This window comes from Homo sapiens, chromosome 13, assembly GCF_000001405.40.
Source record: "Homo sapiens chromosome 13, GRCh38.p14 Primary Assembly".
Lineage (NCBI taxonomy): Eukaryota > Metazoa > Chordata > Mammalia > Primates > Hominidae > Homo > Homo sapiens.
The window spans coordinates 112,427,175-112,440,789 of NC_000013.11; the positions used below are offsets into that span (position 1 = coordinate 112,427,175).

The 13,615-nt window shown below is 43.6% G+C and overlaps 1 protein-coding gene and 1 long non-coding RNA gene across 12 annotated transcripts in view; one reads left to right on the plus strand and one right to left on the minus strand.

The window, feature by feature from the left end:
• Positions 1 to 7,515, plus strand: part of SPACA7 (sperm acrosome associated 7) — a 58,335-nt gene extending 50,820 nt beyond the window's left edge. For all 9 annotated transcript variants that reach the window (XM_011537468.3, XM_017020392.2, XM_011537471.3 and 6 more), the window contains 2 exons: positions 5,270 to 5,347; positions 7,311 to 7,515. In XM_011537468.3, coding sequence (XP_011535770.1) covers positions 5,270 to 5,347; positions 7,311 to 7,375 — 143 coding nt within the window. In that variant the 3' untranslated portion in view covers positions 7,376 to 7,515. The remainder of the gene's footprint in view (positions 1 to 5,269; positions 5,348 to 7,310) is intronic.
• LOC105370372 (uncharacterized) overlaps positions 1 to 13,615 on the minus strand; it is a 97,399-nt gene that overhangs the window by 48,437 nt on the left and 35,347 nt on the right. The gene's annotated exons all lie outside the window — the stretch shown is intronic.

Below are 13,615 nucleotides of genomic sequence, written 5' to 3' on the forward strand. Positions count from 1 at the left end.
TCAGTCTTTGAGGGCAATGTGGGCTCTGTTCCTCGAGCCTGCCACGGGAACACAAAAGCAACGTGAACAGTGTATGAAAGAATGAGCATGGCTGTGTCCAAGGCAGCTTTATTCACTAAAGCAGGTGCGTCCACAGTTGACCATTAGCCGCAGCTTGCAGCCCTGCATCTGTTGGGATGGTCACTTGGTTTTACTTTATTCTGTTGATGAGGAGAATCACATGTGATTGATTTTTGACCCACTTGGTCATTATATTGTTGGATTTAATTTGCTGAAATTTAATTCAGAATTTTTGCATCTGTATCCCTGGGGGACATTGGTCTGTGGTTTGTTGGGTTTTTAATGCTTTTCTCTAGCTTTGGTTTTAAGGTAATAATGGTTTCATAGAAATGGGTTGGGAAGTAGTCTCTCTTCTTGAATTTTCTAGATACATTCATATGAAATGAATATTATTTCTACCCAAAATGTTTGATAGCATTTATCAGTGAAGACATCTGGGCCTATATTTTCTTTATGGAAGGGTTTTAACTACAATCTTAATTTATTTAATAGATAGAGAGCTATTTTGTGTATTTATTTCTTCTTTAATAAGCTTTGATAATTTGGGTCCTTATGGGAACTTTCTCATTTCACCTAAGTTGGCAAAGTTATTGGCAAAAGTTTTTCACAATAGTTTTTTTTTATTCATTTTCAGTGTCTGCAGGAACTGTAGTGATAGCAATTCTCTAGTAATTTGTATCTTTCTAAAAATCCTATCAGTCTGATTTGAGGTTCATCCATTTTATTGATCTGCTCAGAGAACCAGGTTTTTTGTTTCATTTTCCTCTATTTTGTTTTTAATTATAGTGATTTCTTCTCTTAACATTATTTTCTTTCCTCTGCTTATTGTAAATTTTATTTCCCCTTTTTTCTAACTTTTTGATGTGAATACTTAGATCATGGGTTTGAGACTTCTCATGTTTTCTAATAGAAATGTTTAGTGATTTCCTCTAAGTATCACTTTTATCTCATCCCATAAATTCCAATATGTTGTGTTTTTATTTTCATCCAGTTCAAAATACTTTATCATTCACCTTTTAAATTTCTTCTTTGATCCATAGGTTGTTTAGAAGTGTGCTATTTAGGCTGGGCATGGTGGCTCACACCTGTAATCCCAGCACTTTGGGAGGCCAAGGCAGATGGATTACTTGAGGTCAGGAGTTTGAGACCAGCCTGGCCAAAATGATGAAACCCCATCTCTTCTAAAAATACAAAAATTAGCTGGGCTTGGTGGTGGGCACCAGTAATCCCAGCTACATGGGAGGCTGAGGCAGGAGAATCACTTGACCCCAGGCAGCAGAAGTCACAGTGAGCCAAGATCATGCCACTGCACTCCGGTCTGGGTGACAAAGCGAGACTCTATCTCAAAAAATAAAACAAAAACAAAAACAAAAAAAAGAAGTGTGCTATTTAGTTTCAGATATTTGGAGGTTTTTTCCAGATACCATAATTTTATTGATTTATAATTTAATTTTATTTTGGTGAGAAAATATATGTTATATGGCATGATTATTGTTAAATGAATTTTAAAACTTTAAATATAGCCCAGAATATAGTGTGCTTTAGCAAATATTCCAAGTGTTCCTGAAAAGTATGTGTATTATACTGTTAAGAGGTGGACTGTTCTATAAATGTCAATTAGATCAAGTATGCTAAGTAGACTTGTTCAACTCTTCTATATCCTTATTAAATTTCAATCTACTTGTTCAGTTGATTATGGAGAAAGCACTGTTGAAATCTCAAACCATAATTGTGGATGTGTTCATTACTCCTTTTAGTTCTAGCAGTGTTTCCTTCATGTACTTTGAAGCTCTCTTATTTGGTGAATAAACCTGTAGGATTGTTATGTTTTCTTGGTGAGTTATCCCTGCAACAAGACTCTTGGCCAGGTGCAGTGGCTTGTGCCTGTAATCCTAACACTGGGAGTCTGAGGCAACAGGATCACTTGAGCCCAGGAGTTCAAGACCAGCCTGGGCAACATAGCAAGACCTCATCTCTACAAAAAATAAAATATTGGCTTGGTGTTGTGACACACACTTGTAGTTTCAGCTACTCAGGAGGCTGAGGCAGGAGGATGGCTTTAGCCCAGGAGGTCATGACTGCAGTGAGCCAAGATGGTGCCACTGCACTCCAGCCTGGGTAACAAAGTAAGACCCCATCTCAAAAAAAAAAAAAAGAAAGAAAGAAATGACTCTTTTATTCCTAGTAATATTATTTGCCCCTAAATATACTTTGAGATTTAAGTAACTATTTTACCTTTCTTTTGATTGGTATTAGCATGTCTTATCTTTGTCTATCATTTTACTTTTAACCCATTTGTGTCTTTAGGGGGGTTTCTTATAGACAGCGTATGGTTGGCTCTTGCTTTTTTATCTAATCTGACATTCTATGCTTCTTGAACATATGGTATACAGTTTTATAAAAACATTTTTAATACTTTTGCTTTCTAATTCTACTCTCATGTCATTTCTGGGTCAATTTTGATTAATTTTTCTTCTCATTGTAGATGATATTTTATTGCTTATTCACATACCTGGTCATTTTTGTTTGAATGCCAGACATTGTGAATCTTACTTCATTATGTGTTAGATAGTCTTGTATTTTTAAAACTATTATTGAGCCTGTTCTTTTACCCAGTTAAGTTACTTTAAAGCAGTTTGGTCCTTTTGAGGCTTGCTTTTATGCTATATTAAATGGGACCAAGCAGCATTTATTCTAAGTCTACTATTCCCCACTACTGAAGCAATGTAATTCTGTGTACTCAATTTCCTGTGTATTATGAGGGTTTTTTAAAATGTTTTCTGACAGGAACCCCACTTATTTCTGGCCTGTGTGAGCTCTGGAAATTGTTCTGCCTGTTCAGTTGTGTGGTCCTTTTTCCATCCTTGAGTAGTTTTCTTACAGCCATTCATTGGCCAGTAATCAGCTGAAGGCTCAAGGCATCCCTTGCATCTCTCTCTCTGTGTGTGTGTGTGTGTGTGTGTGTGTGTGTGTGTCTCACTCTGTCCTTTGAACTCTAGCTACTGTGACTTCTCCAAACCCCTCAGTATATTGAGATCACTGGGCTCTGCGTAAGTTCTCACTCCTAATGCTGCCCTGGAAACTCTCCAGGCAGTGCCTGAAGCAAGCATAGGGCTGCATTCAGCTGCTTTCCATCTCTCAGGGGATCACTGCTCTTTGCTGATTATTCTCCGATATATGGGAAAGCACTGTTTCATGTATTTTTTCTTGTTTTTTAATTAAATTGGGAGGATAAATCTAATCCTTGTTACTCCATCCTTTCCAGACATTAAAAATTCAAATACTAGATTTTTACCCATGTGGTTCCATTGAGAATCCTGGAACTGTGAAAAGCTCTGCATTTCAACTCTGGAAGGAAAAGCAAGGACTGGGGTGATGGCCCCTGGGTTCTCCCAGCTCAGCCGCATACAGCCTCAGTGCCCTTAGGAAGGTGCTTTGCCTCACTGGGGCCTCATCTACGCATGAAGACTAAGTATTACCCACGGGTTTCACCAGGTGCCCTATAGTCGAATGAAACCACACATACATAGGGAACGGGGAAATGTTAGCATCATATACTCTTCCCTGGGACTCCCAAGGGCTAGAGATTACAAATAAGCAAACTAAAGATAAAATGTTTTGTATTAAATGATGAATTACATATGTTTCCACAAATAGCTAACCTGAATTATCTGCCAAAATTTTCTAAGGAATCTTCTCTAAAAAAACTCTGTGTGAAATCATTTTGAGTATGAAATTGGCAGTAATCTCTCTGGTGTAGGTTATCCCTGGAAAGATACACAGGAAACTGGGTCACAGTTGTGGCCTCCAGGAGGAAACTGGTAGTGAGGACCAACCACCGGAAACAGCCTGATGTTTCACTGAACATCTTTCCTAAAACTTAAAAATTGTTCAATGGGCTTGTGTCCTTATTAAACATATAAACTGAGCACCTAAGAATAATTTAGATAAATGTTTTTAAAGCATGAAGCAGCCTTTAAGGATGCCTGCAGGCTTTAATGAATGTTTGCAGATCCACGTTCCTCTTAATGTAAAACGGATTAAGAGGAAAATAGATCTGCAACTATCCTCTCTTCCTTGTTGCCAGAAAACCCAACTTCCCCATGTAGTCTGTAACTTCTGGGAGTAAGAAAAGTTTCATGGTTCATAATATCATTCCTGACATACTGACTGTGCCTAAACTTCAGTTTAAGACTTTGGGACCTGGTAAAATCTAAGTATCCCATAGGACATATATAAATTCATGTCATAATTATTCATTTCCTATAACATTAATGTCAACAAGAGACTCATTTACTCAGCAATACCTGCTGAGCCTGCTAGGTGCTCGGCAGATATATGAGGGATTCTTGTTTCCAAGAAATGAGACTGAGGGGTCAGGCCAGTCAACAGTAGTCATTATTCATGCGTTCACAAAATGCAGATGTACCAAACCGTATTTTTAAGGATTCCAGGTTGCACCTGCACGGAGTTTTGGGAGAACTAAAGAGAGGTGGGTCCTCCTGGTGTGCTTTGAGAGTAAGAAAAGTAAATAAAGGAAGAGGATTAGGGTTCTCTGTAGGGTGCCCCCCACTAGGAAATGTGCCTCCCAGGCTGGTGGCTGTTCCAAAGGGAGCCTCCCACCCAACAGCTGCAGAAGCTGGGGCCGGTTTGGGGGGACTTGGAGCCACTCCTGAACTGATTAGCCACTCACACTGCCTGCACCTCTTCCTGAGCAGCGGGGACCACACAGCATAGTCATTGGTAGAAAGGGCTGGCCACGAAGAAAGGTGGGGGAAATTCAGTGTCTGTAAAACCTGTGTCCGGGTCCAAGGACCACGGCTCAAGTGACCATGAGTGTCAGATCCACAGAAGGGAGCCCTGCTCACCACCAGCAGTGGGGAGCCCTTAGGACACAGAGTGGACAGAATACTTCTATGCTAGTGTCTCCTAAGAGTGTAAAGAGAAAACACAGAGAAAGCACAAAGATGTAGGACTCCACGCATTGCTTCGGCACCAAGCCACACTTTCTGGGGCTTGCTGGAGGAAATGTTTTTGATGGCCTCGCCTGAGGCTGTGTCTCGAGAAGCTGCAGCACCTCACCCCGCTTGCTCTGTGCGTGGGTGCTGCTTTGCTCAGCGCTTACGGCTCCCTGAAGTTAAAGGAAAAGTGGAATCATGCCTTAATTATTTACAAAGAGTGATCATTGTACTTATTGTTTTCCCCACAGAAAAGAATTCAAAGAACACTCAGTATGAAAATCTATCCATTCTGGACCAAATCCTTCAAAATATTGGAAGATCTTCAGGTAGATTGGAAATAATAGATAAGTGTCTTCTCATTTGGGGATTCTTTTCCTGCTCAAGGGACAGGTGTGTCTCCGAGCAGCTCCAGGGAGAGCAGGTGAGCCCAGCCCCCAGGTGGACCTACCTGAGCTCCACAGGAGCCCCTGTCCAACCGTTGATGTGTGGAAACCTGACCAGACAAGTCCAATTCAAGGAGTCAAGGCCCGTGTCATTGAAGGAGTGCTCTCCCTTTTCAGCTGAATGGAACAGGGGACTAGTCCCCCTTTTCCCAAGAATAATCAGGACTCACAAGGCTGCCACCACCCACCTACTCAAGGGTCTCAACCACGTGATGACGGGAGCCTGCTCCCCCATGACAGGCCCAGGAAGGGCCCCCACATCCCCTTCAGGAGGCCCCCCACCCTCTCGTGGGGTGGGGACCCCCAGTCCAGCCCTTCTCCACTCCCTGTTCACACAGCTTCACCACTGTCCGCCTGCTAAGAGTTGGCCATGCAGATCCTGTGGCTTCTGTCCCTGGCCCCAGGCTTCTCCTAGGAGCTTTCCAGAACACCTGGGAGCCAGTCCTGGGTGAGGCTGACAGCCCTCTTGTCCTCCCGGTATCCCTGAGTCACATGGCAGCCCAGTGTGCCCAGCCCCTCCCCCCATACCCTGCAGCACTTGCCCGTCCACGCAGCCTGAGACCCTCCATCTGGAGCGCGTCACACCATGAATCCCGAGCTGCTGTCTGTGAACTCCAAAGACTTTGGCAAATGAGCCATTGCCGAGCCACATGGCTGGCTTTTCATAGCCCGAGCACAGAGCCAGACATTGAGACCCTGTCACCTTCACTCACCTCCACTGGTGCTTCCCAAGCACCCACCACGTGCCAGGCACTGTCCTAGGCTCTGGGGTTTCTACATAAAACAGAGAGCCCTGCCTGGGAGCTTACCTGCTAGAGAACAGTTAGGTGGGCCTCCCTGTCCCCTCTTAAAGCATTGGGGTTCTGACTTTTCCATCCAGCCTGTTGGCTGCTGCTCCCAGCCCCTCACTGTCCACAAGCGTGGGAAGCCGGCCAGCTCGTCCTTTGTTAAAATGCCGAAGAGGACGGTCCCGGGAAACGTCGCTGGAGACGACCTCCCTGCTGCATGAGTTGTCATCGAGCACAGGCCAAGAGCTTCTCTGAAGTGGGGCCCCCAGCCCCCCAAGTTCAGACTTTGCCAGGCCAGTGTCAGTCCCAGGACCACAAAACCCCAGGCCACAAGGTCTGCTCGTGCCCCCAGCAGCAGGGACCAGGCCAACACACGCGGTGTAGAAAGGGCAGTGAGCGGTCGTTCAAGCTACGGCCAATATCCCAGATTGTGCCACTGTCCAGGACAACCTCTGCTGCTTTAGATACAATTTCATGATTGACCTTGTCAAGATTCCAGTTCCCTGGGACCTGACTGTTCTGCAGGGAGAACCACAAATTCTCCTATAACTCTAACAGCAAAAGACAGGGGCCTCTGCACTGATGAAGCTCCTGTACGTCACCAGCACCTCTAGGTGTGGCCGTCGGCAACAGAAGCCCTGGAGGTGACAGTGGGGACTTCCAGAGCCCTGGCAATGTTGGACAGTGAAGAACCAGGAGTCCCCAACCTCCTGGTACTGACATCCCAGGAATGAGATCCACAGCCGGCCGCCATGAGGGGAGGAGGAGGAGGACCAGTCCAGCTCCGCCAGGCTTGGAGTTGTCGATGGGTTTTGAGGGAGAACGCGGGGGAAATGACACTGGACAGGGTGGCCCCGCAGGGAGAGCCAAAGGCAGCCTGACGCAGCCAGTGCCCCCCTCCCGGTCCTCCTGCCCCAGACACATCCGCAGGGCTCTCCCCTCCCTCCACAACTGAGGGCTTGGTTCCTCCTGTCCCCTGGTGTCCCTCGATCCTGCCAGTGCCTCCATCTCCCTCATACCACACACTGCCAGTCTCAAAATCTCCTCTTTCCACACAGGAAACATTTTCCATAAAGAGCAGCAGAGGACCAGCGCACAGAGGAGGAGCCAAGGCAGTCAGTGAGGCCGCAGCCCCAGACCCCCTGCGCAGGAGAGGAGCCTGCTAGAACCCCCACCCACCAGCCTCCGGAACAGGGCACTTGTGTGCACACGCCCACGTTCTCTGAACCATTCCACATAAAGGAAAATCGTTTATTCACACGATCCCAATTGGAGTTGGTTTATTTAAGTGTTAAGCCAAAGGGTATGTGGGATTTGGGGTTTTTTTTAAAAAAAAGAAGAAATCAAGAAGCAAAAAAACATATCAAACCTGGAAATAAGAGCATCAGAATATTCTGTCTACAAATAACATAATCTCAGAGCTCATAAAGAACTCGTCCATGAGGAACAGAGACTACAAAGGCCTGAGAGTCTCTTCCCTACTGCCATGCCTTGCAAAACACACACGCACACATATAACACATGCACACACATAACGCATGCATACAAACACAACACATGCATACACAACATGCATGCACGTACAACACATGCACACATACAACACGCATGCACATGCATGTGTGTGCATGCAACACACATGCAACATGCACACACATGCAGCGTACATGCACATCCAACACATGCGCATGCAACATGTGCACACATACAATCCACGTGCATACAATACACGCATACATGCAACACACGTGCAACACGCACACACATACAACACATGGGCACACACGAAGCCTCATTGCATTGGAATGTTTGCCAAGCTTGGGAATGCTGGCTGGGACTGTGTGTTATGGAAGGTGAAGGTTTGCTCCAGGTGGTGTGTGTGACCTACAGCATTACCTGGGGGTAGGGGCTGGGGGTGACCAGGACACATCTTGGGCAACTTTTCTTATCCAAACTGATTCTGACTGTGGAGGGGCTGCAACCTCTGCTGGATTCATTGAGGTGACCCATCTGGAAAGATTTAGGACAAAATATGATTTTCCCATTTCTCTAGAAAGGCAGCCAGGCTTGGAGAAGCTCATGGATCGCGTTTGAGAACAATCCTGGACAGACGACTTCCATGCCCTTTGCACAGTTTAGCAGTGGATTGGTGTCCTTTCCATTAATAACACCATTTTCAAAGGCAGCTGGAAACGGAAGCAGACAATGCCATTGTACTTGTAGCCGCTGGCTGTGCTCTCTTCCTAAGAGATGCAAACGTCCTGTGCCCTCTTTCTATGGTGTCTCCAAGGCAACTGCAGAGGACTGAGGGTTTGGAATCAGAGAATGCTTGTATTGGAATGACCCTTTGAGGCCTTTCATGCAATCCCTCAATTCCAGATGAGGAAACTGAGGCAGCAAGGACACATGACTCACTAGTTACTCAGTAAGTCAGTGGCAAGGCAGGATGCAGTTATTTCTGATGCCCGGTGCTAACCTGTGTCTACTAAACCATGCTGCAGCCTCTCTATGAATACAGGGACAGCTGCGTGTAGTTCTTCTCCTTTCTTTGTACACTTGTAGTTTTTATTTTTCTGTCTTGTGCATGGATCTCACAAAGCATTTTTAGCGAACTCTGTGGTTTATAAGTTGTTTCCATGCACAGTGGCCCACCGAGTCCTCACAGCAAGGCCAGGAGGCAGGCATCGCCTCCACTCCACATGAGTGGGCCTGGGGCTCAGAGGTATTCAGTGGCTCACTCACTGCCACACCGTCACGTGGCCTGTTGCAGCCCTGACACCGTGCCCCAGGCCGGGCCTTTGCTGCTGGATGTTTTAATCGTCAATGGCATCATCGTTTTCCAAGCAGGGTCTTGCAGGGTTTGTCCCCCAGGAAACCTTGGCAGAGCAATGCTGACCCAGAGAAGACAAAACATATAAAGTGTCATTGATTTGACCACTCTCTCTCCTCTGTCCTGACCACATGAGATCCCTGATTACACAGTCTTCAAAAGCTGGAAGTTTGATGTATTAGTTTGATCACATCAAAATATTCCCTCTCTCAGGGATGGCACTGAAAACAGCCACGGGAACACGTTGGGTCTCCAGATTGATGATTGCTGTGCAAGGCTCAAGCACGCCCTGCTTGCTGTATGGGACACACCCTTGCTGTTCCCAGGAGGCTTAAGACAAGAGTCAGGAACTAAGCTGACGAGGAAAATCATCAATGTTAATATTGGCTACCCCAAGGCAAGTGATGAACTGGCTTACAGGGGTGTTAAAGATGTGCCTGTGAGGTAGAAGTGACCCCCACATGTACTAGGATGGGCATTCCAGGAAGAAAGTGTCCCAAAGGTGCCAGGGCAGGGGTGGGTGAGTGTCGGGGGGGCTCTGCCACCGAGGGTGGGAATTGTGGCCAGAGTGGTCCCCTATTATATGTTATGGGTGGGAGAAAATGGTGAAACATATTAATGTATGCTGTATGATTTCAGTTTTTTGAAATTTTTTGAGACTTGATTTAGGGCCAAACATACAGCCAATTTTGGTAAAAATTCCATTTGGAGCTTGGGAGGATGGTGTATTCTGCAGTTTTGGGGGGTGGGATCCCACAGAGTCAATCGGGTCAAGTTTGTTAATTGTGTGGTTAAAATATCTCCTTACTCATTCCTCTTTGGTCATCCAGTATCAAAAGAGGTGTAAAAGATCCCCACTGTGAATGCAAGGCATTTATTTCTTTGGTTCTATTTTGTTTTGTATGTTTCAAAGCTATGTTGCTAGGGTCCTACAGACTAAATTGTCTTTCTGGTGGATTTAAGCCTCTATTGTTATGAAATGTTCCTCTTTATCTGTAGTATTTCTTCTTGCCTTATATTCATTTTGTCTGATATTAACATAGCCACGCTAACTTTCTCTTGGTAAATGTTTGCATGGTATATCATTTTCCATCCTATAATGTTATATTATATATATATATATATATATAGTAATATATAGGAGTACACTTTTAGAAATCCAGTCCTTTTGTCTTTTAATTGGAATATTTCATCCTTTTCCATGAAATATAAGCAGTGCTAGAGCTGGGTTTGTATCTATGAAGCAACTATTTATTTTCTATTTGTCTCACATGCCTCATTTTTTTCTTCTTTCACTTTATTTGGATTAAGCAAGTATTTTTTTAATTCCATTTTCCCCTCTATTAGAACATTATGTATTTTAATATTGTTTTAAAGGTTATATTAGAGACAACAATATATATCCTTGACTTACTATCACCTAAAATTAATACTTTTACCACTTCCTTTTCTCTTCTTTCACTTTATTTAGATTGAGCAAGTTTTTTTTTCATTCAATTTCCCCCTCTATTAGATCATGGATTACGTATTTTTAATATTATTTTAAAGGTTATATTATAGACTACTACAGTATGCATCTTGGACTTCCTATAACCTAAAATTAGCACTTTTACCATTTCCTAATAATGCAAGAATAGAAGAATACTTAACTCCACTTACCATTTTTTGCATTATTTTTGTCACAGATTTTAATTCTACATATATTTTAAATGCTTCAAAATATTATACTTAGTTCTATGCAGTTAATATTTGTTTCAGATTTATCCACATATTTACTCCTTTATTTGTTCTTCATTCTGTTGTGCATTTTTAATGCTTCTGGCTAGCAGTACATTCCTGCCAACTAACTCCTTTTAGTATTTTAGTGTAGCCCTACTGGGAAAATCCTCAGTTTTTATTCGTCTGAAAATATCTTTACCTTCATGTTTTGAAGAATGTTTTCACTAGATGTAGGCTCTAGATTACCAGGTACTTTCTTTTCCATTGTCTTTTGACCTCCATCATTTCTCCTGGGGAATCTACTGTCACTCTCTGTGTTATTACTGCTCCTTGGACAGTAATGTGTCTTTCTACCTCTAGCTAATGTTAATCATTTCTCTTTGCCTTTTCATTTCAGCATTTTTACAATGATGTTCCTAGCTGTGTTTTCATTGCATTTATCCTGTCTAGGGTTTATGGTGATATTTGAACCCATGGCTTATTTCTTTAGTAAGTTCTGAAAAATTCTGTCTTTTCAAATATTCTGTGCCTTTTTTCTCTCTCTCTTCTCTCCTCCAATTACGCATGTTTGATGTTTGTGCTCTGTCCCACACTTTTCTTATACTCTTTTTATTTTTCATTCTTTGTTCTCTTTTATTTCAATCTGAATATTTTCTCCTGACCTACATCCAGACCACTAAATCTCTCTTTAGCTTTGGATAATCATTTAATCATCATATTAAATTAATATTTTATTTTAATTAATTAAAAATTAAAATAATTAATTAAATTTTAATTACTACGTCTTTTAATCCTGGAATTTCCATTTGGTTCTATGGATTCCACTTATCTGTGATGTTCACCATTGTCTCATCTGTTTTATGGATATATTAATCATAGTTATGCCTAATCTGTATTTGATAACTCCAATATCTGTATTATCCAGAAGTCTGTTTCTATTGCCTGGATTATTGATATGATTGGTACTTTTTGATGGAATGCTGGACATCGTGTGATGAAAAACTAGAAACTCTGAAAGACATCTAGCTCTGGTAGCCAGTTAGAGTGAGGACAGATCATCTTAATTAAGTTGTTTTAATACTAGATTTGTCTTTGTAACACCTGGTCTATTTCTAGTTTTCCTTGTTCCTATGGGAATTCCAATTTAGAGCTCTGAGAATTTACCAGGGCCCTTCAAATGCGACTTTTATTTTTTACACTAGGAGACTGCTTGAAAACTCTTTAGCTCCTCAGCCTCTCTGCTACCACTTTCTGCTGACCTTCTCCCCAGCAGCACAGCTGAGGACTTAGGGAATGCTTTAGGGGGACAAGCAGATTGGCTAGTTGGACTCACTACACTGAACAGGCGTTCTTTCTGGGATCTTAGCACCTGAAGCCCTGGCTGTGTAAGAAGCCCTTAACTCACATTTTTTCTTCCCAGCCCTGGGAGATTACTGAAAGCCTCCTAGCAACTGCTTTCTGCTGTGCTGCTCAACCTGTCTGTGATGCATAAGAATTAGCAAATGCCTCAAGGGGGTGATGAGCTCAGAATATAAAACTCACATCCACAAATTTCCTTCTCTCTTAATCTTGACCACTCAAGTTCTGCCCATTTTGGGAGTTTTTCAATATACACATCTGCATTTTATCCAGGTTTTCCCATTGTTTTCAGTGAGGATGTGGCTGCTACTTATCCCAGAACCACATTTTAGAATCTTTAATCTAGAAACAGAGTTAATCAGCTACATCCTGACATCTACAAGGAAGACAGGATTTTGCCACAAAGAGGAAAAAACAGAGCTTCTGTACTTGGGGTCAGGGAGGGAACAGATCAAAACCACCTCAGAGGAAGGGGTGTGTGTGAGCAGTGGGGAGCACTGCAACATTAGGGAGCTCAGAGATGGCTCCAGAAACTAGAGGTGGCAGCCGTGCCACCTCCTGTGAGTCAGGGCAGGACCAACCAAGAGCCTAACACCAACGGCAACACCCAGCCACTTCCCAAACTCTGTACAGTTTTAGGATTGAATGTTAATTTGTTGCAGACAGACTGAGAGGGCTCTGAGAATTGCATTCTATCACCAATATCATCAATGGCTAAGAGCACGTGCACCAGGAACAACAAGACCAGGGTAATGGAAGAACACAGGTAGCAGGGTCAGGACCAGGGCAAGGCTGGTCCCCAAACCACCTTGACAAAGTGCTTTGCAGAAAGACACTACTCGATACATCCACAGTGAGTGTGTGTGTGTGTGTGTGTGTGTGAGAGAGAGAGAGAGAGAGACAGAGAGAGAGAGAAAGATTTGCTGACTAAGGGCTCTATCAATGAGGAGGAATTGGAACTTCACACTAGAATCAAGTTACACTTGTATGTTATCTGGAACATCTCTTGCACATTTATAGCGTAAGTCACCTATTAGTGAACTACGTATAGTTCCTTCTGCAGTTTGAGTTTCTCAACCAGCTGGTCTGTTGTTAAATTCACAAACCCTCTCTCCCCATCTTGCATCAGGGCCTGGTCACCTCTGGTGATCTGGGGTAAACTGGTGCCTGAACAAGATTGAGAGCCACACCCCAGACTCTTAGATTTCCAAAACATAAACCATGACGAAGTGCTGACCCACGGTGGTGCAGCTGGCCTTTTGCCCAAGATCCTCCCAGTTCCTCACTCTGATTCCAGAGGAGGTTGCCTCTGTCCCTATGTGCCAACAGCTGTGTCCAGATGAACAGATTCCAACCCTGGGTCCTCTGAGAACCACAGTTCAGAGGCCAAGGGACCCAAAGCTTCCCCCAGCCCTGCAGTGACCACAGACAAGCAGCAGGAGAACCTGGAACAGT